This window comes from Homo sapiens, chromosome 16 (genome assembly GCF_000001405.40).
Source record: "Homo sapiens chromosome 16, GRCh38.p14 Primary Assembly".
Classification (NCBI taxonomy): domain Eukaryota; kingdom Metazoa; phylum Chordata; class Mammalia; order Primates; family Hominidae; genus Homo; species Homo sapiens.
Genome location: NC_000016.10, coordinates 27,975,915 through 28,001,318, shown reverse-complemented (window position 1 = coordinate 28,001,318; position 25,404 = coordinate 27,975,915). Strand labels below are relative to the sequence as shown.

Below are 25,404 nucleotides of genomic sequence, written 5' to 3'. Positions count from 1 at the left end.
AGCCCTGGGGTTGAAAGACCCAGGCTGGCGTTGGCTGTACCTCTCCTCCCTTTCCTGGAAAAATGATGGCAATTCTGCACTATCTATGTGAATTGGGGAAGAAAGCAGCATGGACAGATAAAGTCCAGGATCCCAGTCGCCTCCCTGGCCAAACAGAAATGGCTAACCAGCCAGTGGTTTTGAGGGATGGGAGTTCAGCAAACTTTTCTTTTCCTTTTTTGTCTGCTGGTGGAGCTGCTAATGAGTAGAACGAAGCCCACAGAGGGAGGGGGAAGCAGAAAGCCTGAGCAATCCACTCCCTGAATAATCAGCCCTGAATAATTGAGAATTGACTTGTAATTGCAATTGTCTCAGTGTGGAGATGCTGACGCTAGAAGATGAGGAACAGGCAAGGAGAATGGTGGGGTTTGGAAAGAGGGCGTTGACTCTGGATTGGTTCCTGGCAAAGCAATGGCGGGTCAAGGGGAAATTTTTTATTACAATTTTAAACTACAAGGTCAAAGGGCTAACACTGTTGGGGGAAGGTTGTAGGAGGAGGAGAGGAGAGATGTATCCAGGAAGGAGCAGTATTTCTTCCCAGACAGTAAACAACTACCAAATAAACCCCAGAAATGACACTCTGAGAGTGTCTGTGGGAAGCTTAGAGAGCTGCTTGTCCGGCAAGAGGTATTGGTTTTGTTCAAGCTTCATCTGGTGCTCATTTAAAAAAATAGATTTCATTTCCCCTCTTGCACCAGTCTGGAGGGGAAAATCAGCACGTAACATCTGCCTCATGTCATCATTTAGATGCTTATAAATAAATGGATTCTGGCAGGACTAAGCAAATAGATAGTAAAATGCAAGACCCAGCCAACTCCTGATTAGCTCTTCGTGGATTATCTGCTGGGGGATCGTCCAGAGGAAATGTCCCATCCCAGGGTGGAGTCCTTCTCGCCATGCAGCAAGGTCCTAGGCTTCACTCTCTGAGGTGGCCTAACTTTTTATTTTTACTTTTATTATCTTTAGCATTATTTGGTAGAGACGAGGTCTCACTATGTTGCCCAGGCTGATCTCAGAACCCTGGGCTCAAGCGATCCTCCCACCTTGGCCTCCCAAAGTGCTGGGATTATAGGCGTGAGCCACTGCGCCCCGCTGTGGCCTAACTTTTGAGCGCACAGAATGTCACATGTGAGCAAGTAATGGTTAAGGGCTGGTTCTATGCTGCAGACAGATCTGAGGTTGAACTCGTCTCTTACACACAGTAGCTAAAAGGACTTGAGCCGTGTCTCCATTCCTCTGAACCTCTGTTTCTTCCACTGTATGATGAGGAAGATGATGATTGCAGCTGTGACTCTATGCTTATCAGTAGCCTTGAGTTTCTCTGCATTTCCCAGCGTCCTTTGCACTTGGAATGGCCATGTGACTAGTCTGGCCAATGGGATATGAGTGGAAGTGGTGGGCTGAGGTGGACAAATATACTGTGTGTCCTCCCTCTACTTTCTCTCCCTCATCTGTGGTGCAGCTACACCATAAAAGGAGCCTGGATCCCTGATTCACTGCATGGATATGAGTCATTCAGGAGAAGCAGCTAAGAAAGAACCTTTAAGATTTTGAGGTGTTTGTAACAGCAGCTAGTATTAACTACCCAAACAAATACAGTAGTACTCCCTTGAGAGGTATTGTGAAGAATTAAGTTAGGGAGGCAGAGCTTATAAGAGCTTAGCTAAGTGCCGGCATATAGAAAATGTTCAATAAATATTAGGTATGAGTATTAATTTATTTATGCAGCAAATATTTATAGAGTTCCCATGATGGGCCAGGGATGTGGAATAACAACAGATGCATAAAATCGTATTTTGGATTATGTATTAAATAGTGCACTCCATGGTAAAATAGAAAGAATTTGGTCATTCTTTCCATCAGTGATTATTATTATTGTTGTTGCAGCTCACTGCAACCCTTGAAGCCTCCCAGGTTCAAGTGATTCTGGTGCCTCAGCCTCCTGAGTAGCTGGCATTACAGGCATGCACCACCACACACAACTAATTTTTGTATTTTTAGTAAAGATGGGGTTTCACCATGTTGGCCAGGCTGGTTTTGAACTCCTGCCCTCAAGTGATCTGCCCGCCTTGGCCTCCCAAAGTTCTGGGATTACACGTGTGAGCCACTGCGCCTGACCCAATCATTGATTATTAAATATTAAACCCTATTATGCTCCAGGCATTGTGATGAATGGTGGGGACGTGTGGTTGAATATGTCCGTTTTCACTCTTAAATTGCTTGCAGGCTACTGAGAGATGTACAAGTAAACATATAATTCAAATGCCAAGTGACACGTGTCATATAGAGGGACTTTTTTAAAGTGCTGGCTGTGTCATTAACTCTGTTTGGGGGAAATCAGAGAGGGCTTCATGGAGGAAGGGGCTTTTGAGTTCAGCCTTGAATGTCTGAGTAGCATTTGGGCAGATGAGAAAGCATTTCAGGTGGAGGGACTGGTTCAGAGTCATGAAGCCTTGGGTTGTTTTTTTTTTTAATTATTTATTGATTTATTTTTTAAAAACAAGGTTTCACTCTGTTGCTCAGGCTGGAGGGCAGTGGCGCGATCACAGCTCACTGCAACCTTGAACTGGGCTCAAATGATCCTCCTGCTTCAGCCTCCCGGGTAGCTGGGACTAGAGGTTCATGCCACCATGCCCAGCTAATTTTTAAATTTTTGTAGAGAAGGGGTCTTACTGTGTTGCCCAGGCTGCCCTTGAGCTCCTGGCCTCAAGCAATCCTCCTGCCTCGACCTCCCAAAATGCTGGCATTACAGGCGGGAGCTCCCGCGCCTGGTGAGGTCTTGTGTTTGATGAGATGTGACAAATGCTTTGGTAGCTGGGGATATAGGGTATCTGTGCTAGGTAGAATAATGTCACCCACTCCAAAGATGTCCACATCAGTGCTTGCTCTGGCAGCACACACACTAAACTTGGAATGATACAGAGAAGATTAGCACGGCCTCTGTGCAAGGATAACACACACATTCATGAAGCATCCCATATTTTTCCATTATTCTAAGTGAAGTAACTCTGGAATAGAAAACCAGACTCTGTATGTTCTTACTTATAAATGGGAGCTAAATTATGGGTATGCAAAGGCACATAGAGTGGTACGGTGGACATGGAAGACTCAGAAGTGGGGAGGGGCCAGGCGTGGTGGCTCACACCTGTAATCCCAGCATTTTGGGTGGCCGAGGTGGGTGGATTACCTGAAGTCAGGAGTTCAAGACCAGCCAGGCCAACATGGTGAAGCCCCATCTCTACTAAAAATACAAAAAGCTGGGAGTGGTGGCGCATGCCTGTAATCTCAGCTATTTGGGAGGCCGAGTCAGGAGAATTGCTTGAAGCTGGGAGGTGGAGGTTACAGTGAGCCAAGATCGTGCCGCTGCACTCCAGCCTGGGTAGCAGAGTGAGACTCTATCTCAAAAAAAAAAAAAAAAAAAAAGTGGAGAGGGTGGGAGGGAGTGAGGGATGAAAAACTACATATTGGGTATGATGGACACTGCTTGGGTAATGGGGGCACTAAAATCTGAGGCTTCACTGCTACACAATTCATCCATGTAACCAAAAACCACTTGTACCCCTAAAGCACTGAAATAAAAAAATATAAATAATAACAATAAAAATTAATAAAATCAACAATAGAAAACAAGCAAAGATGTCCACATCACAAACTTTGTAACCCAACCCGTGACTGTGTTAGCTTACGTGGTGCAAATGGACTTTCTCAGATGTGATTACATTAAGGATTTTGATATGGGAGGTTATCCTGGAGTATCCAAATGGGCCTGACCTCATTCCATGAGTCCTTAAAAGTGGAGAACCATGATGGTGGGCACATGTAATCCCAGCTACTTGGGAGGCTGAGGCAGGAGAATTGCTTGAATCCAGGGAGCAGAGGTTGCAGTGAGCCGAGGTTGCACCACTGCACTCCAGCCTGGGTGACAGAGCAAGACTCTGTCTCAAAAAAAAAAAAAAAAAAAAAAAAAAAAGTGGAGAACACTTCCCAGCTGTAGGCAGAGGGAGAGGTGTGTCTGTGAAAGAAGGGAGATTTGACATGGCTGGTTTCGAATATTGGGAACCACGAGTCAAGGCATGTGGGCATCCAGGAGAAGGTAGAAGAGGCAAGGACATGATATCTTCCCTGGAGCCTCCTCTAGGGGATGTGGCTGGGCCTACACCTTGATTTTAGCCTAGTGAGAACCATGGTGGACTCCTGACCTATAGAATTGTAAGATAAGGCCAGGCGCGGTGGCTCATGCCTGGAATCCCAGCACTTTGGGAGGCCGAGGTGGGTGGATCACCTGAAGTCAGAAGTTCGAGACCAGCCTGGCCAACATGGCGAAACCCTGTCTGTACTAAAAAATACAAAAATTGGCCTGGCGTGGTGGCACATGCCTGTAATTCCAGCTACTCAGGAGGCTGAGGCAGGAGAATTGATTGAGCCTGGGAGGCAGAGGCTGCAGTGAGTCGAGATTGAGCCACTGCACAGAGTAAGACACTGTCTAAAAATAAAAAAGAAAAAGGAAAAAGATTTATAAGGTAAAGATTTTGTATTGTTTTAGCCATTATGTTTTGTTTGTGTTAATTTGTTACAGCAGCAATGGAAAATGAATAGAGCGTCTGATGGAGAATGTCAAGAGACCACACTAGACAAAAGGGCCAGGCAGAGTTCTGTAGACTTATTCTGGATGAGCAGTGGGTCTCAAACTTCAGTGAGGTCCCCACTTTTCCATGTACTACTAATATTCTGTGTGAATATTAATTAATAATTATATTCTGAGAGAGAGAGTAGCCTTGTTCATTTTAATGGGCATGATCCTTCCATAAGTTGAATGTATGTTTCTTATTTAATTAATGGAAATGTAGGTTATTTCCAGTCCTTTGCCATTAAAATAAGGTTGCAATGAATGATCTTGACCTTGTGTAATTTTGCACACGTGTAAGATGAGTTCCAAGAAATGGAATTGTTGGGTTACAGAGAATATGCATCTTTAGGAGTCCACATTTTCCAGAAGTGTTTGAGGGCACCATTCTGGTGAGAGCTAAAGGCAATTGGAGGTTCCTGAGCAGAATTCAGATATGGGTTCTACAAGTATTCCTGTGGCTGATGGTGTGGAAGCAAGGAGTCCAGAGGAGAGGCTGAGGCAATGGACCTAGAGAGAAATGAGTGTGAGTGACAGAGAGAGAGAGAGGGCGCTGTTTAGGACTGGGTTGGTATGGGTGAGAGTAAGTTGATTTTCTTGTGTGTGTTTTTATTTATTTTTAGATATGGGGTCTCACTATGTTGCCGAGGCTGGTCTCAAACTCCTGGGCTCAAGCAATCCTCCCATCTTGGCCTCCCACAGTGCTAGGATTACAGGTGTGAGCCACTGTGCCTGGCTGTGTGTGTGTGTGTGTGTGTGTGTGTGTGTGTGTTTTAATCAGTACAGGAACTTCCTAAGACCTGAGAGGTCCTTCTTCAATGGCCCTGGGTTGAGAGCCTACTGGAGCCAGGTGCGGTGGTACACGCCTGTAATCCCAGCTACTTGGGAGGCTGAGGTGGGAGAATTGCTTGAGGCCAGGAGTTCAAGAGCCACTGGGACTCGTGTCCCTCATGACAAGTGAGGCCCACTTTGTGTTCACGTGTCAGGCCTGAATTCCACTCTCCATTCTCTTCTGCCTGGCCCTTTTAACCTTGGGGGAGACAATTATCTTTGTGGTTTTGCAGGGAAAGGGGATAGAAGTGTGTCCCTGTGGTCTTTAAACAAGATCTTTCTGATATTAGGTTTCTTCTAAGAAATACGTGGTGACCACAGTTCTTCCTGCCCCTGACTTCCTGATTTTTGGTGCTTATATGATTTTTACAGCATCGAGGTGTTCCAACTACAATATCTCCAGTTGTTTCATTTTGGTTATGCGTTTACATAGATTCTTTACCCACCGTGGGGTTTTATTATGATTTCTCCATTCTTGGGCTTATTTTATTCTTCCTTGGTGAGCTGTATTTCAATGTCAGCTAGCTTTTTCAAGAATGGCTCATGGATACTATATTCTCCAAGGGCGTTCGTGTCTGAGAATGTCTGCCTGCTGCCTTTACACTTGAACGTGCAGTTCATCTTTTTGCAGCCTTGCTGGGATTATGTTCGTGAGTCTCCCCTGAGGAGAGCCCTGGGACTGTTTCTCCCATTCTTCTCGAGGTTGGGTTGAGACCCAGTGCTGCTTGGGATGCGTGGTGGTCCCCTGAACTTGGGGATGCTGTAGGAAGATCATGAACAGAAAATAACACAATTTGGAGGGGGAAACTTTGGCTGCCAATTTCAGGGCAGCCAGCCAGAAGATTCTCTCTCTTCCCTCGTATGTTTGGGATATTTGTAACTCTAAAAATATCCATGGCAGCTGTGTACAGCTGCACAGGCTGTGCACTGCACGATTCAGGGAATGTTGTTCCTGTAAACCACAATGTGAATGGTGCTCCGTTATGTGCAATGTCGTGGCCCTGTGACCTCTCAGCCTGGAGTGGGCCTAGAAGCAGAGAATTATTTTATCTCAGTGTTTCCAGACTTTGGCTATTTTCATATCACCTTTATTAATTTATTTCTAGCCACATATTCATCTTCTACTATGATTTTTTTTATTGACTCACAGTCTTCTTACAAAAATGAATGTAAAAGGGGAACTTTAGATCAAAATTGGGAGCGGAAAGCCAGTAAAACTCACCAAAATAGAAGAAATATGTATGTGCACGTGTGTGTGTGCATGTGTGCACATGTGAGCATAAAAGAAAAATAATGCCATCAAACTCTAGCTGGATATTGTGGTCTTTCTTTCTTTTTGAAACAGGAAGTATTAGGAAGTATTATCAGCAAGAGTTAGAGCAATGTTAAAGACAGGCTTGCAGAAAACTGACGTTTTCTTTTGGAAGTCATCTGAAGGGTTGGAAAGGAATTAGAGGGAGAATTGTTCCCTATGACACAATTCAGTGTAGTTTAATGCCACATCCCCCCACCATTCTGAACCCCCCCAAGGGACCTGAGAAAACACTGGCCCAGCCCCATCCTCCATGAGCTGCTTGAATATCTTGGCAACATCTCCCCTTGGTGGTTCAAGCCTTTCTCCTATCCTTATGTTACAGTCTCGCCAATGCACCAGAATGTAGCCGTTGTAGCAGCCTCTCCTGTGGTATCACCTGGAGTTTTTTGTCTCACGACTAAGAAAATTAAGGAGCATGGACACAAAGGATGAGGTTGCGCAAAAGTTTAACAAGCAAAAGAAGAAAGCTCTCCTGTGCAGTGGGGGCCTGGAAGAGGGTTGCTGTTTTTACGGTTGAATGCAAAGCCTTTTATAAGAAATGGATGAGGCCTGGGTGTCTCATTTGCATAAGGCATGAATTTCTGGTAGCTTCGCCCTGTCCTCTTAGTGCACATGTGAGCCCTTAGCTTGAGTTACTGCATATTGCTTTGTTCCCCTTTCTGCACATGTGTCAGGGGACAGAATTTTCCATTGCGGACATGTATGGGCAAGTCATCTGTGTAGCCTTTCTTATCTGTGCGGCTGTGGGCATGTCTTAGGCAAGCCCCCATGTGCAAGTTTCCTTATCTGTGCCTGCAAGCTGTTCTTTTGCTTGAAAGAATTCAACTAAGGACCCACCCTAACTGCCTGCCTGACCAGCTTCTTCCTTTCTCCTCTCTCACTTACACCACTGGAAAGTTTAATGCCATGGCACAGGGGCTTTTTTCGAGGCTGGGCCATTCTTTGATTATATTGGGCAGAGTCCCTCTCCTTGGGCCTGTTGAGCCTGGTTTTACTGTCTGGAGTGCAATAGAACAGATAAAATCCTTCCTACAAGTTACATTCCTCCAAATATGATTGAAAGTGGGGACTCTAGGCCAGGTGCGGTGGCTCTTGCCTGTAATCCCAGCACTTTGGCAGATTACCTGAGCTCAGGAGTTCGAGGCCAGCCTGGGCAACATGGTGAAACTCTGTCTCTACTAAAAATACAAAAAATTAGCTGGGCATGGTGGTGCATGCCTGTAGTCCTGTCTACTTGGGAGGCTGAGGCATGAGAATTGCTTGAGCCCGGGAGGTGGAGGTTGCAGTGAGCCAAGATTGCACCACTGCACTCCAGCCTGGGTGACAGAGCAAGACTCTGTCTCAACAACAACAACAAAAAGCAAGTGGAAACTCTGGAGTTAGAGTGCTTGGGCCGGAATCCTGACTCAGGTACTAAACCTCACTGTACTTCTGTTTCTCCATTCAAAAATGGGCATAATAACAGTACCTCTTTCATATAGTTATTATGAGAATTAGACATATGGACATTTCAGTAGCACCTGGCACATAGTACGTTCTCAATAAACATTAGCTGTTATTATTTTCTGTAGGCAGGGACTGTAGGGACCTCATTCCCTCATACCTTCTTCTAGTTATAAGGTGGAGGATGTGGGTCCTAACTTCAGCTTAATATCTGACTCATGATGAGATCTCAAGTCACCCAAGGCCCTCCCTGGGCCATGGTTTCTGTATCTGGAAACTGAGGGTGGTGGACTCTGTGATCCCTAAATTCCTGCTTCCATCTCTAGCAGAGCTGGATAATTGTATGTCAAGGGAGGACAGAAGAGGAAGCGTGTTCTGCAATGAGCAGATCTATGCAAACCTATCCCCAAAGGCTGAGGGAGCCGAGAGGCCCAAGAATGAGGCTCACAAATCTGGCTTCTTTGAAAAAGAAATTTAATAGGAACTTAGTAACAGAAGTGGTATGTCTGGTGGCTGAGAGACAGTAGCTCCCCACACCCACCCTCCAGAAAATATTCCTTTTTTTTTTTTTGAGATGGAGTTTCACTCTTGTTGCCCAGGCTGGGGTGCAGTGACACAATCTCAGCTCACTGTAACCTTGGCCTCCCAGGTTCAAGTGATTCTCCTGCCTCAGCCTCCCTAGTAACTGGGATTACAGACACACGCCACCACACCTGGCTAGTTTTTTGTATTTTTAGTAGAGACGAGGTTTCACCATGCTGGCCAGGGTGGTCTCAAACTGTCCTCAGGTGATCCACCCGCTTCGGCCTCCCAAAGTGCTTGGATTACAGGCGTGAGCCACTGGGCCCAACCGAAAATATCCTTTATCTAGCAAGCCTTTAGGGTAAAACATGCATAGCTGGTCACACCTCAGGCTTTCTTGCAAAACTCATCATCACTAGGGAGGTTAGATAAGCATCTTGACGAGGGTCATCTATGCCACAGGCATTGCTTAAAGACCTTGCTGCAGGAGTCAAACATCAGTTATCATGGAGGTTTCACTTCCAGATGGCGTCGCTCTTGCCATGCAACAGGCTGTTTTCTTACGCTCCACCCCTGGAAACCTGCCCTGACAATCTCACTCACCCACCTCTCCTGAGGTAGTCCCTGGGTCTGGAGAGAAGACGCTTGGTATGGTATAGATTTATCAGCAGTGCATTGGCAATGGGAAATAGATTGGGCCCAGTAGGATTCCAAAGGAGGGAGATTCACAGCCTTTGTTGAATAATCTCTAGTCTTTGGAATACCACGATTTTGGTTTTCTCAGAATAAGTAAAACAATGAGAGATACATAGCATTAATAATTTGAATAGTAGAAATATGGGCCAGGCACGGTGGCTCATGCCTGTAATCCCAGCACTTTGGGAGGCTGAGGCGGGTGGATCACCTGAGGTCAGGAGTTTGAGACCAACCTGACCAACATGGCGAAACCTCGTGTCTACTAAAAATACAAAAGTTAGCCAGGCGTGGTGGTGCATGCCTGTAATCCCAGCTACTCGGGAGGCTGAGGCAGGAGAATCACTTGAACTGGGGGGCAGCGGTTGCAGTGAGCCGAGATTGCACCACTGCACTCCAGCCTGGGCAATAGAGTGAGACTCCATCTCAAAAAAAAAACAAACAAAAAAAGAAATATAATGCACACAAATACTACAATCAAAAAGAGAATTTGTATGCCAGAATGAAAAAAAAACAAAAACAAAAAACAGAGAACCTATTCTATCAGGGAGCAAACTAAAAACATCACGAAGAAAATTAAAACCCAGTTCTCCTTTAGAGACTTGTTGTAGCCAGGAAATAATTCAGCATTCAGTCCAAATTGTAGGCAAATAATAAAAGCTCAGAAACAACTGTCAAGGCTGGAATCTAATAACAGGTGTGTTATAGTTTTCTTCTGAAAGATAGTTTTTCTGTCTCCAATTCCCCTTTTCTACCAAAGAAAAATCACAGTAAGACCCAGTTTATTTGCAAAATAAATTTTAGCCTTACTGTACTTGGCCCGATTATTTGCATAAGGTGGAGCAAGACTAGCGATTGACCACATAGACTCTTTTTAAGTTGGCTTTGCTGGAACTTACATAAGGAATTTTGAATTAGACTTTTTTTTTTAAATTATACTTTAAGTTTTAGGGTACATGTGCACAACGTGCAGGTTTGTTACATACCATTTGACCCAGCCATCCCATTACTGGGTATATACCCAAAGGATTGCAAAACATGCTGCTATAAAGACACATGCACACATATGTTTATTGCAGCACTATTCACAATAGCAAAGACTTGAATTAGACTTTTAAAGGTCTGGATTTAGGAAGCCAAGTCACAGATTCGTCATCAAAATGTGCCTAAACTACCTGTATGAATTGGGTGAATTCTTTTCTTCTTGAGGTCCCAAAATATCTTGAGGTTCCTGGACCTGCTAGAAAGTGTCATTCTTTATTTATCACAGGTCAGGAATCTTGCAAGGGAACCATAAGACAAGGAACTAGGCCAGTCTTTCCAGAGGACCTTTTATTGGCTCTATTAAGTCAACCTCAATTCCTCAAAGCAGAATGGTCATATCTAAAAATACACCATTCTAGTCAAAACCTTGGCATAATAAGTATTTCCAATGTGTCCAGTGGCAAAAGAAAACGTATTCTTAGTGAATGTATGTTAATAACTATATTATAATAAAATAAGAATATTCATGAATAGTTTCCAAATTATGGAGAAATTAGAGGGAAATGTAAATGTCTCCATTTTGCTCACAAGTGTATACTTTGCCCAATTGCTGTAGATATAAATAGCTCAAAAGAAAGAAAAAAATTTCTTTGACTCTGAAAAACAAAACATAAAAAGAAACAACAATGGTTCAAACAAAAAGTCATAAAAATGATTTCAGTCCTTTATTATTTCAGACCCATGTGAGTAATTCTTGTTCTGCTTGATGTTGGGTTAGCAATCCTCATAAACACATCAGCTAATTAAGAGCCCTGGACGTTTCTACTAGCCTAATGGTATCATCTCCAAAGTTATCAGAAACCTGTTATTCAAGATGACTTGTCAGGGTCCTTTCCATGAATTTCCTCGAAGACACCACACTTTAGGGTTTGCAAAAAGCTTTTAGGAAAAAGAATCAGAATAAAGCAATTAACTGCATATACCAAGACATATCAGACATTTAGGAATTTCCTCCAATTTTGGGACACATATTAATAACACATTTATACAAATACAACTCAAAGAAAGTTAAACACCATTTCTTATTTGACAACGTTTCCCATATAATTGTTTGTTGTTTTTTTTTTTTAGACTGAGTCTCACTCTGTTGCCCAGGCTGGAGTACAGTGGTGTGATCTCAGCACACTGCAACCTCTGCATCCTGGGTTCAAGTGATTCTCGTGCCTCAGCCTCCCAAGTAGCTGGGACTACAAGCATTTGCCACCATGCCTGGCTAATTTTTGTATTTTTAGCAGAGGCAGGGTTTCACCATGTTGGGCAGGCTGGTCTCGAACTCCTGACCTCAGGTGATCCACCTGCCTTGGCCTCCCAAAGTGCTGGGATTACAGGTGTGAACCACCGCTCCTGGTCCGTATAATTTTAACATAACAAATAAGCCTAGTATATCTCTCTTGGCCTTTCAGGGGCCTATTTGTTATGTCTAAGTTAGTTTGGGTCAAGAAGACTTAAGTTTAGAATTTGAAATTTGCTTTTGGGAAGTATGTCAAATATCAAAGGTTAAAACACTTGATATCAAAGTAAGAAAGCTTTAAAACACTTTATCAAAATAGGATCCTGGATGACTGCAAAATAATAGTCATTTAGCCAAAGTGATAACTCAAAGATGGCAAAAAGCAAAAACCTTTACTCTTTGATAGAGAGGAGACTGAGTTTTCCAAAAAATCCAAAGCCCTAATAAAGACAGCGTGAAACTGTCTCTCCTTCTCTCCTTTTTTTCTTTCTTTTTCTTTTTTTCTTTTCTTTTTTTTTTTTTTTGAGACAGAGTCTTGCTCTGTCACCTAGGCTGGAGTGCAGCAGCACAATCTCGGCTCACTGCAACATCCGCCTCCCGGGTTCAAGCAATTCTCCTGCCTCAGCCTCCCGAGGAGCAGGGATTACAGGCATGCACCACCATGGCTGGCTAACTTTTGTATTTTTAGTAGAGACGGGGTTTCACCATGTTAGCCAGGATGGTCTTGATCTCCTGACCTCGTGATCCGCCCACCTCGGCCTCCCAAAGTGCTGGGATTACAGACGTGAGCCACCAGGCCCAGCCCTCTCCTTTTTTTTTTTTTCTTAATTGCAGTTGACTGAAAAGGTAAACAAAATAATTTTCTCTCTTATTAATATGACATAAATTCTTGTTTAAAGGAGAAAATGAAAATTTACTTTTATATTAGTGTATTATCAATACAAAAGCTAATTTTAATAAAACCCTATAAACAAATCCATCCAATTTCAGTCAGCTTTGGACCACACAGATAAGATTCCCACAAATCCTTTATAACTGCTTATAAGACTTTTTTCTACTTTTTTCTTACCTCAACTTTTAGATTCATTTATTTTTATCTATACCATTTCTCCTTCATTTTGAATCAACCTTTAAATAACCTCTAAACTAGAAAAAATTACTTTTCCTTCAGCAAAAACCACAACCTCATGTCTTTTTAATAACATTTCTTAACCTAAAATACATTTTGCTTTCTTTATACACTCTGTATATAGAATTGTTTCTCTTATATCTAGTAGTTTAAATTACCATAATTTCAACTCCTAGTAAGCTTAATTTCCAGTGAAAAACCCAGGAAGTAAGTAATTTTGTACTGTCTTATATCAGTATTTGTGGATGAAAATTATTTCATAATTTTTCAGAAAGATGTTTCCTTAATTTTTTGTTTATTAACAGATATACTTAAAGTATATAAACTTAAACTTGTGTTTAAAAGTTAATATTCCAGTATCTTACCTAGAAATGACTCAGACATTTTATGATGATCTGTTACTTTATTTAACATGACATGACTTTAAGATTTGAAATTACTGAAAGGAATTTGAAACTATGACACGATTATCTTTTCCGGTTTTTTTTTTTTTTTTTTTTTTGAGACGGAGTCTTGCTCTGTTGCCAGGCTGGAGTGCAGTGGCACGATTTCGGCTCACTGCAACCTCTGCCTCCTGGGTTCAAGTGATTCCCCTGCCTCAGCCTCCCGAGTAGCTGGGACTACAGGCATGCGCCACCACGCTCGGCTAGTTTTTTGTATTTTAGTAGAGACGGGGTTTCACCATGTTGGCCAAGATGGTCTCGATTTCCTGACCTCGTGATCCGCCCGCCTCGGCCTCCCAAAGTGCTGGGATTACAGGCGTGAGCCACCACGACCAGCCCACAAGTATCCTTTCTAACGTCTTCCCCAGTCACTCTGGGTCCCAAGTACCCACGTGGCACCCAGGGATGGCTATGAAAGGCAGGGCTTGTCTGGGTCCCGAGTTAACACACCAACTATAAAGCTCAAGGCAGAGGACAGAGCTGTGAAGATAATGTCTGACCCTTCCCAGCACAGCCAGGGGGCACAGCAGGGGCAGGGAGACCTCCACACATGTCCCTCAGCCTCACCATGGCCATTTGCTTAGAGTCTAGAATCGAATGGCTCCAAGACTTAAATTCACAGACAGAAGCAACAGTTTTATGACCTTAAAACATCCAACAGAGATAGCCTAAACCCATCTGACCATAGACCCAGGCGAAAATATCTGCATTATATTTAATACTGATAATTCTGAAGACATTTCTATTTTATTTTATGAACAATTTAAAAACTTTTTTTTTTTTTTTTTGAGACGGAGTTCACTCTTGTCGCCCAGGCTGGAGTGCAGTGGTGCGATCTTGGGTCACTGCAACCTCTGCCTCCCGGGTTCAAGCAATTCTTCTGCCTCAGCCTGCTGAGTAGCTGGGATTACAGGCACCTGCCACCTTGCCCAGCTAATTTTTGTATTTTTAGTAGAGACGGGGTTTCACCATGTTGGCCAGGTGGGTCTCGAACTCCTGACCTCAGGTGATCTGCCCGCCTTGGCCTCCCAAAGTGCTGGGATTACAGGCGTGAGCCACTGTGCCTGAACTGAGACCAATTTCATTTTAGATGGTTAGCTTCTAATTTAGTCTCCATCTACCAACTGGACCACTGAGTTCAGGGCGGAGCCCATTAACAAATAGGACCAACGAAGGAATTGCAATTTCCAGGGCCTAATACTTACAGATGTGAAAAGCAGGTCCAGCTGGAAGGCAGAACACTTAGGTCTCCCCAAATCAAGGTCCCACTTTTACACTGGATCCTGGGTCCCCCAAAAGAAAGAAGCACCACGGACAGTGCAAAGGACAGTGTACCTCACTGCAAGGACATTCTCCCCAATGCTGGTGGGTAACCCCGCACCAGTAAGTCACTTTGTGATCAGCCCATCCCCTGCAGGAGTCTTATCCCTTTGTCGCAAGTGTTTCCATAGCCTCTAGGTATCCAAATCACACTTTTCTATCTTTTTTTTTTTTTTTTTGAGGCGGAGTCTCGCTCGGTCGCTCAGGCTGGAGTGCAATGGTGTGATCTCAGCTCACTGCAGCCTCCACCTCCCGAGTTTAAGTGATTCTCATTCTCCTGCCTCAGCCTCCCAAGTAGCTGGGATTACAGGTGCACACCACCACGTCCAGCTAATTTTTGTATTTTCAGTAGAGATGGGGTTTCCCCATATTGTCCAGGCTGGTCTCAAACTCCTGGCCTCAAGAGATCTGCCTGCCTTGGCCTCCCAAAATGCTGAAATTATAGGCATGAGCCATTGCGCCTGGCCAGATCACACTTTTCTTATCTAAACATGCAAAGAAAGGAGTAGCCTCCCTGCGGCAATAACTCTCGTTGTAAACACTGTCAGCCACCCTCAAAATGGCAGCCCTCATCAGTGACTTGTCAGCCATGGCACACGCAAAGGTCATATTCTGTCATAGTACTAAGTAATCCCTGGTACTCCCAAAAGCCTCAAAGATGGGAGAAAGCAATGCAAAAGAGAGCAGAGTTTTAGACCACAGAGAAACCTTCTCATGACTCTTGGAACCCCACAAGGAAGGCAGAAGACCCCAAAAAGGGGGTGAGTGGCACCTTTTCCTGTGTTCCTCAAGGAGTCGTGTTAGTCTGTGTTGTTATAATGAAATAACTGAGACTGGGTAATGTTTTTTTTGAGACAGAGTTTCACTCTTGTTGCCCAGGCTGGAGTGCAATGGTGCGATCTTGGCTCACCGCAAATTCTGCCTCCTGAGTTCAAGCGATTCTCCTGCCTCAGCCTCCCAGGTAGCTGGGATTCTGCCTGGCTAACTTTGTATTTTTTTTTTTAGTAGAGATGGAGTTTCTCCATGTTGGTCAGGCTGGTCTTGAACTCCCGACCTCAGGTGATCTGCCCACCTCGGCCTCCCAAAGTGCTGAGATTACAGGCATGAGCCACCGTGCCCGGCCGAGACTGGGTAATTTATAGAGAAGAAAGGTTTATTTGGCTCATGGTTCTGCAGGCTGAGCGGAAAGCATCGTGTTAGCTTCTGCTTCTGCTGAGACTGCAGGAAGTTTCCAATCATGGCGGATGGTGAAGGGGAAGGCAGTGTGTCCCATGGTGAGAGAGAGAGCTAGAGAAAGAGAGGAGGAGGTGCAGGCTCTTTTTAAACAACCAGCTCTCGAGTGAACTAACAGACCAAGAACTCCCTCATTACCATGAGGACGGCAGCAAACCATTCATGAGGAATCTGCCCCCATGACCCAAACACCTGCCATCAATCCCCACCTTCAACAGTGGAGGTCACATTTCAACATGAGATTTAGAGGGGACAAACATCCAGACTCTATCAGGGTCTCAGGGGCACAGGAAGTCTCCTCTAGATTGATTCATTTGGCTTCAAAGATAGCAAAAGGCAGGAGGAGCAGAAGTGGAAGGAAATGGAAGAGCAAGAGCAAAAATCATGCCAACAAGACCAGGCATGAGGGCTCATCCCTGTAATTCCAGCACTTTGGGAGGCTGGGGCGGGAAGACTGCTTGAGGCCAGGAGCTCGAGACCAGCCTGAGCAACATGGCAAAACCCCATCTCTACAAAAAATACAAAAATTAGCTGGGCGTGGTGGCTCGCGCCTGTAATCCCAGCTACTCCAGAGGCTGAAGCAGTAGGATACTTTGATCCTGGGAGGTCGAGGCTGCAGTAAGCCATGATTGTGCCACTGCACTCAAGCCTGAGTGACAGAGCAAGATGCTGTCTCCAAAAAAAGAAAAAAAAGAAAGGAAAAAAATAAAAATTATACCAACAGAAAAGACACCAAACAGAGGGATCAAATGTAATTTTTAAAAAGGTGTTTCAGTCGACTGAAAAAAAATGCCAGAAACAGGATAAAGGCCTTCCCCTATCTAGAAAAAAAATTATAACCTGAATATTAGCTTCTAATTAAGCTGACTTCTGACTGTAGAGCTCTAAAAAAAACTTCTTTCTAATTATAATTCCTCCTCAAGCCATTTTACTTTTGCTTCTGTTGCTAGCTGGGCTTCCGTCACCCAATGGGCAGCCCACAGAAGCAGTGATCCTGACATTTCTGGGGCATCCTTGTACTCATGCCATGGGCCAAAAGTGTCCAAAAGATGAGCCACACCACTCCACATAGAAGTGGCTGGCTACCCTGCGATGTCCCCCATGGATGCTTCATTCCCTCTGCCCATTTCTTGGTCTCTCGGCTCCTGGCTGGATTGCTACATGTTCTGCAGTGAGCAGGCCTATGCAAACCCACCTCCAAGGTCCAAGGGAGCTGAGATGCCAAAGAAAGAGGCTGACAAATCCCGTTTCTCAGAGAGAAACATTAATAAGGGCTTACAAACAGAAGTGGTGTCTTGCGGCCATGCAACAGTGGATTCCCGCACCGACCTCCAAAAAATATCCTTTCTCTAGCAAACTTTTAGGATAAAAACCATGCGTAGCTGGTCACACCTCAGACTTTCTTGCAAAACTCATGACCACTGAGGATGTTGGATAAGCATCTTGACAAGGGGTTATCTATGCTATGGGCATTGTTTCTCTATCAGGGGTTATTTATGCCACAGGTGTCGTTTAAAGACCTTGCTGCGGGAGTCAAACATTGTTCATCATGGCAATTTCACTTCAAGATGGTGTCACTCTTGCCATGCAACAGGCTGTTTTCCTGCAAGCTGAGATGCAGATAATCATGGGCCACAATCTCACAGTGTCAGCCATAGAATGCCTCCAAAAAAACTCCCCAGTATCCCTGCCCCCCATTTTGATTTCTCTTTCAAAGCATGCTCTTGGAGAATGAGATAGGGTAACTGAGGAGGGAGGATTGCTTGAGCCTAGGAGTTTGAGACCAGCCTGGGCAACATAGTGAGACCCCATCTCTATATTTAGAAAAAGGGCAGAAATAAGACTGAGATAAGGGGAAAATATTTGCCTTGCTTTAAACCAAACCAAACATATGGGATGACATTACAAAAATCACAATTCTTTAATTTATCAAGCTTCCCTGAAACTGAGTCCTTGTCCTGCACCACGTGCCTCACATGTATTACCTCATTTATCTCCAGCTACCCTATGTGTAGGGCAGCACTAGCTGCTGTAACAAATAAGCCCTGAAATGTCAATGGAGTAACAGTAGAAGTTTATTTTCTTTTATTAATTTTTATTTTTATTATTATTTTTTTGAGACAGAGTCTTGCTCTGTCACCCAGGCTGGAGTGCAGTGACATGATCCGGGCTCACTGCAGCCTCAAACTCCTGGGCTCAAGTGATCCTCCTTCCTTAGTCTCCTGAGTAGCTGGGACTACAGGCATGCACCGCCATGCCCAGCTAATTTTTGTATTTTCAGTAGAAACAGGGTTTCAACATGTTGTCCCAGCTGGTCTGAAACTCCTGGACTCAAGTGATCCTCCTGCCTTGTCCTCCCAAAGTGCTGGGATTACAGGTGTGAGCCACTGTGCCCAGCTAGCAATAGAAGTTTGTTTCCTGCTCATGTAACATGTCAGCACAGGTGGTCCTGGTGGATGGCAGTTCTACTCTACATAGTGTTTTGGGATGATATGGTTTGGTAATTTGTCCCCTACAAATCTCATGTTGAAATGTGATCCCCCATGTTGGAGGTGGGGACTGGTAGGAGGTGTTTGGGTCATGGGCGTGGATCCCTTATGAATGACTTGGTGCCCTGCCCACGACAATGAGTTCATGCAAGATCTGGTTGTTAAAGAAACTGGAAGGTCCTCTCCTCTCTCTTGCTCCTGCTCTCACCATGTGATACGCCTACTCCCCCTTCACCTTCCAACATGAGTAAAAGCTTCCTGAGGCCTGACCAGAAGCAGAGCAGATGCTGATACCATGCTTATATGGCCTGCAGAGCCACGAGCCAAATAAACCTCATACTCTATAAATTACCCAGTCTGAGGTATTCCTTTATAGCAACGCAAAATAGACTAACCCAGGGGACTATGCAACTTCCAAATTGTTCCATTTCATGGAGCCTTAGAGCCCTTTGCATCTAGGTGGAAGAGGAAAGAGAGAGTACACCCATTTCATAAAAGCCCTCCCCAGGAATTGCCTCACTTCACGCACACACACATCATATTGGCAGGAACTAGTCACGTGACCCACTGCTCACATGACCCCACTGGGATGCGGGGGATGCTGGGAAATATTGTACCTGGCTGGGCTGAGTGCAATGGCACAATCATAGCTCACTGCAGCCTTGAACTCCTGGGCTCAAGTAATCCTCCCACCACAGCTTTTTGAGTTGCTAGGGCTACAGGTGCGTGTCACCACATTGGCTCATTTTTTGTTTTTTATAGAGACAAGCTCTTGCTGTGTTGCCCAGACTTGTCTCAAATTCCTGGCCTCAAGTGATCCTCCCTCCTCAGCCTCCCAGCGTGCTGGGATTACAGGCATGAGCCATGGTGCCTGGCCAGGGCAGCTACTTCTTAGCAATAACTCCATACTACAGAAGATCACTTCTTTTGGTAGATAGCTAGCTGTTTCTGCCATACCTGATGTGGTAGAGGTGACAATTATAACCATTTTACAGATGTGGAAACTAAGACCCAGAGAGTCTGACCCCTGGGTCACAGAGCTTGTATGTGGCAGAGCTGAGACTTGAATTCAGGACTCTGTAAGTTTAAATCTCTTACATTTAATCACTATAATTCTAATTTTAGATAAGCATTTAGCTTCTTCAGCTTTAACATTCTTGAGAACAAAATTCTTCCCTTGATTTATACAAAATGCCCCAAATGCCCAAGCAACGTATGTCTGGAGGCCACGGTGTAGCAGTCATGATGCCAAGCGGGGTTTTAGTCTTCAGTATTTCATCCATTTGTAGAAACGATTATCCCCAGAAAGTTGACCTGCATTTTGGACTCCTGCCAGAAATCAAGGCATGGTACCATCTGTAAGAGATAAATAAATCAAAATATCATCAGCAGAGAAGTGTGTGCCATCTGCTGCCCCGTCAGTTGAACTGGCAGAGGCCTCCGGAGAATCCAAGGAAGTGCTTGCCAAGGCTCTGCCGCCAGCCCAGATAGTGAGAGGAGAAGCTTCACACAAGATCTGTTGGCATTTTTTTCCCCCAGCTGAATTCCTTGAATCTGGCCAGCAAAGGTGTATGAACTCTTGCCCTTGCCAACCAGTTAAAATCATTCCCCATTGGCCTCATTTGCTGGGGACCAGGACTGATTCTTCTCTGCCCGCCCAGCAAGTTGAAAGCACTCAACTATGAAGAAAATTTACCATGCACCTGCCAAAAAGCTTTGCTGCTTGTGGAATCTGGGTCTCGGAACCAGGGTCAAACTTTGAACCAGCCAGATTTGAGTCCACTTCGCTGGGCACGTCTGGAAGGCTGCTAGGTTCTCCTGCCACGTGTGGGGTCTCTGGAGGGTGTGTGGGACTTTCCTTAGGAGGAATGAATTTTACTAGGACCTGCCTGCTCTGCTAAGATGTAGTACAGAGGAATGACCAAATCAAAGGCTCTGTGCCAAGCTGTCTTGATTGGAATCCTGGCTCCACCACTAGCTGTGTAAAGTTAGACAAGTGATTCACTCAATCTCCCTCTGCCTCAGTTTCTTTTTTTCTTTCTTTCTTTTTTTTTTTTTTTTGTTTTTTGGTTTTTGGTTTTTGAGACGACATCTCACTCTATTGCCCAGGCTAGAGTGCAGTGCGTGATCTCAGCTCACTGCAACCTCTGCCTCCCAGGTTCAAGCGGTTCTTCTGCCTCAGCCTCCAGAGTAGCTGGAATTACAGGCATGTGCCATCGTGCCTGGCTAATTTTGTATTTTTAGTAGAGTCAGGGTTTCACCATGTTGGCCAGGCTGGTCTCGAACTGCTGGGCTCAAATGATCTGCTCACCTCAGCCTCCCAGAGTGCTGAGATTACAGGCCTGAGCCACCGTGCCCAGCCAGCCTCAGTTTCTTCATCTGTAAAATGGGTGTGGTCATAGGAGCTGCCTCATAGGCTGTCGTGCAGATTAGCAATTGATGCATGTAAAGCACTTAGAACACACGTTGGTAGGCGCATAAAGCATGTCAGCACGTGTTATTGGCTGGTTGACTTTGTGAAACTGTTGCTACTGCCTCTCTCTGTTGACCCTGCCTTCCCCGCCTCTCCCCACCTCCTGACTCCATGGAAGCCTCAGCAACACCATCTGGTGGGGTATGGAATTAAGTCACGATCTTCAGACCCAGGATCTGGGGATTCAGCCAAGGATGCTGGGCTCCTTAGTGACCCCTTCCCCCTGTCTCGTTGCCCACATCTCTGCTGCCAACCAGGACCTGGGCGCCCAATGTCCATGCCAAGGGTAACTTGGCAGACCCTCAATGCTCTGCACACCTTCTGCCAGCATTGGGCATCTGCCTCTGGCCACCCCCCTTGATTTTGCCTGTGGCCCTGCCAGGTTCCCCCCACCTGCTCAGGCTGAAGTTGCAGAATTACAGCCTCCTGCTTCTGGCTTGGGAAGACGCCCGGGCTCTCCTTGGGAGGAGTGACATGTGTCTCTAACTTAGGATCCAGGGAAAGAATTTTTAAAAAGCTCTTATTTATGGAGCCAAGCACAGGGCAGCCATTTTCACACACTTTCTCCCATTTCAATTCTCTCTCTCTTTTCCTTCCTTCCTTCGTTTCTTTCTTTCCTTTCTTTCTTTCTCTTTTCCTTCCTTCCTTTCTCTCTCTCTCTCTCTTTCTTTCTTTTCTTTCTTTCTTTCTTTCCTTTCTTTCTTTTTCTTTCTTTCTTTCCTTCTTTCTTTCTTTCTTTCCTTTCTTTCTTTCTTTTTCTTTCCTTCCTTCCTTCCTTCCTTCCTTCCTTCCTTCCTTCCTTCTTTCTTTCTCTCTCTCTCTCTCTCTTTCTTTCTTTCTTTCTTTCCCCTCCCTCCTGCCCATCTCCCTTTCTTCCTTCCTTTCTTTCTTCCTTCCTTCCTTCTTTCTTTTTTTTTTTTTTTGATGGATTCTCACTCTGTCGCCCAGGCTGGAGTGCAAGGGCATGATCTTGGTGGCTCAGTGCAACCTCCACCTCCCAGGTTCAAGCGATTCTCCTGCCTCAGCCTCCCGAGTAGCTGGGACTACAGGCACTTGCCACCACGCCAGGCTAATTTTTGTATTTTTAGTAGAGATGGGGTTTCATTATGTTGGCCAGGCTGGTCTCAAACTCCTGACCTCAGGTGATCCACCCGTCTCGGCCTTCCAAAGTGCTGGGATTACAGGCGTGAGCTATCATGTCCGACCTTTTTTTCTTTTTTAAAAATGGATTCTTGCTATGTTGTCTAGTCTGGGCTCAAGTGAGTCTCCTGTCTCAGCCTCTGTAGTAGCTGGGACTACAAGCATGAGCCACCATGCCTGGCTTGTTTGAATCCTTTTTGCAAGCCTGGATGGAAGGCGCTCTGATTTCCGTCTGGCAAGCAAGGAAAGGGCTTAGAGAGGTGAAGCCACTCCCTGAGATCACTTGGCTATGAGGAGGCAGAGGATGGATTTGAACTCACGTCCTGTGGCTTCTGAGCCTAGACACCTCCTTGTGCTGGCGCCTCCAGACCTGTGATGAATGACATTGAGGGTGTGGGTGTCAAAACATGGAGCTGATTCCTTTGCAGATGTTGTCTGAATTAAATCCTAACTGAAGATGTCTTGTTTTATGCCAATGACCTTATTTAGCCTTCCCAGCAACCCCAGAAGATTGGAATGGTCAACCTTAATAGCAAACAACTACAAAAAAGAACCCAACCAAACAAATATATATATTTAAAAAAAAAAACCATTATTTACTCCCAGTCCCACAGCTAGCAGGTGGCACAGTGGGGATTTGATTTTTTTTTTTTTTTTTTGAGATGGAGTCTTGCTCTGTCACCCAGGCTGGAGTGCAGTGGCGAGATCTCTGCTCACTGCAACCTCCGCCTCCCAGGTTCAAGCAATTCTTCTGCCTCAGCTTCCTGAGTAGCTGGGATTACAGGTGTGTGCCACCACGCCTGGCTAATTTTTGTATTTTTAGTGGAGATGGGGTTTTGCTATGTTGGCCAGGCTGGTCTCGAACTCCTGACCTCGTGATCCGCCCACCTTGGCTTCCCAAAGTGCTGGGATTACAGGCGTGAGCCACTGCGCCCAGCTGGCACAGTGGGGATTTGAATTCAGGTCTGCGGGAAGCCAGAGCCCAGCTTTTAACCAGGGAGCACACCCTGTCCGGCTTCCTGGTGACCCTGGTGCACCCCATGGCTCTCCTTGCTGCCTTCACACAGGAGCTTCTTTCTCAATTAAACCAGACCTACAGGAGGAGATCTGGGGGTGGAATTCCTGGAATCAGGCCTGAGTGGTGAGCCAGAGTGAGGCAGCTGTGACCCGGCCAGTTCTATCTGTGGTGGATTCCTGGAAGACTCATTTCTGCTGAGGGCCCGTGCCAGGCTCTCCGTTTCATGGCAGTCTCGATGTGCCTGCTGACAAGCTCAAGCTGCTGCACTGAGGGCAATTTCTGAGTGATGCCCCCATCCATCCTCGCTCAGCCAGAGCCCCTGGAGACAGTAACTCAGAGGGGCTAGCGGTGAGGGGAGGTCAGGGCCTCCTGAATTTTCTGTTTGATTCTCATGCTGCAAAATCCAGCTGCCCCATAAGGTGATGCCACAAGGTCTAGGAAGAAATGACCTTCCATTTGTCTTTTCTGAACGGTGGACACACCCCTGAAAAACATATCTAGGTCCAATTCTGGAATTTGTTTCAAAATAATCTCATGGTGGTGGGGACAGTGGGGTGTAGAGGTGACAAGACTGGCCTTGAGTTGACAGGTATTGAAGCTGGTGATGGGGACATGGGGCTTTTTGTACTAGTCTCTCTACTTTTGCAAAAGATGGAAATTTCCCATAATAAATAAAATGTTTAAAAAAAGATTTTAGAGATACCTGGTCTGGCCATAGAATGCCTTCTGGAATGTGTCCTTGCCCTTTTTTTTTTTTTTTTTTTTTTTTTTTGAGGCAGGGTGTCACTCCGTAGCCCAGGCTGGAGTGCAGTGGCACGATCTTGGCTCACTGCAACCTCCGCCTCCCAGGTTTCAGCGATTCTTGTGCCTCAGCCTCGACTACAGGTGCACACTGCCACGCCCAGCTATTTTTTGTATTTTTAGTAGAGACAGGGTTTGACCATGTTGGTCTCAAACTCCTGACCTCAAGTGATCCACCTGCCTTGGCCTCCCAAAGTGCTGGGATTACACGAATGAGCTACCGCGCCTGTCCTGTCTTGTTCCGTTTCTGACCAAGTCAGTCCCCTGCATGATAACAGAGCCTTGGACAGATAAGGACTTAAGTCCAGATCCTGATTCTGCCACATAGTGGCTGTGTCACCTTGGGTAGGTCACTCTGCCTCTGTGAGCCTTAGTTTTCTCATCTGTAAAATGGGAATGGATTCAGACTTCGTGCCATTGCTGTGATGAACGCCAAGTCCTTTGCGTGGGGCTTGTTCTGGACTCTCTTCCGGGTTGTGGGATCCTGGCTCTAAGGCAACATGACAAACTCGAGCCTGGGGTGGGATCTGCCTTCCAAAGGGGCTTAGCAGAGGGGCCAAGCCACGCTCAGGGTAGCACGTGACAATACGATGAGTGATATTGCAATAAAACCCTTGGGAAATTTAGAGTGGAGAAATGTTGCTTCTGGATGGAGCGAGTGGTTGGTGAACAAGACAGGCTTCATGACGGGAGAGTGGGGTGGACATTTGAGCTGGATCTTGAAGGCTGGGGATGGTTCAGACTTAGAGAAACAGAGAGAGAGATGTTGAGATTAAGGCAGTAGCAAGAACAGAGACCCAGCCATGGGAAAAGGCTGAGAATGCAGACGTGATGGCTAAGGTGACCTCCCGATCTTAAGTCTGCTGCCTCGTGGCAGGTGTAAGGCTCAATGTGGCTGCCCAATGTCTGCTGTTGGAGCCCTCAGCTCTTTCTTGGCTAGTGTAGATATCCCTTTCTGTTTGTCTCTTCTGTCTTAGATTGCTCCCAAGATTCAATTTCTGTCTCACTGTGGCCATACATTCTGGATTCTGCAGAGTAGGTCCCCGCTCTTGTGAGATTCTTGAGAAAGACGATTTATGAAGTACTATTAATTGCTTCATTCCACAATCATGTCTGCAGCACTGATCACTGCTCCAGGCTTTGAGGACACAACAGCGAACAAGACATACATGGTCACGAAGTTTCTATTTGTTGCTGAAAACATGTGGCCTCCGTGTTGCAGAGACATTGTCTGGGCATTATTATTATTATTATTGAGATGGAGTTTTGCTCTTATTGCCCAGGCTGGAGTGCAATGGCTCAATCTTGGCTCACTGCAACCTCCACCTCCTGGGTTCAAGCGATTCTCCTGCCTCAGCCTCCTGAGTAGCCGGGATTACAGGCGTGCACCACTGGGCCTGGCTAATTTTTGTATTTTATGTAGAGACAGGGTTTCACCACATTGGCCAGGCTGGTCTCGAACGCCTGACCTCAGGTGATCTGCCCACCTCAGCCTCCAAAAGTGCTGAGATTACAGGCGTGAGCCACCACGCCTGGCCTGTCTGGGTGTTATTTAGAAGAGCCAGGAAACATCATTTTTTGGAGAGAGGATTCCAAAGAATTACTGATATGTACAC

General features: G+C 45.4%; 1 protein-coding gene and 1 pseudogene across 5 annotated transcripts in view, besides 1 other annotated feature; both read left to right on the top strand.

Annotated features, from left to right (window-relative positions):
- GSG1L (GSG1 like) overlaps positions 1–25,404 on the top strand; it is a 276,187-nt gene that overhangs the window by 62,396 nt on the left and 188,387 nt on the right. The window lies entirely within an intron of this gene.
- Positions 2,918–3,024, top strand: RNU6-1241P (RNA, U6 small nuclear 1241, pseudogene; annotated as a pseudogene).
- Positions 6,979–8,178: an enhancer, noted in NCBI's record as "P300/CBP strongly-dependent group 1 enhancer chr16:28004462-28005661 (GRCh37/hg19 assembly coordinates)". NCBI's record gives its function as "activates an origin of replication core promoter dependent on BRD2, BRD4, P300/CBP, MED14 and CDK7 cofactors, with strong dependence on P300/CBP, by STARR-seq in HCT116 cells {active_cell/tissue: HCT116}" and the evidence as "EXISTENCE:reporter gene assay evidence [ECO:0000049][PMID:35650434]".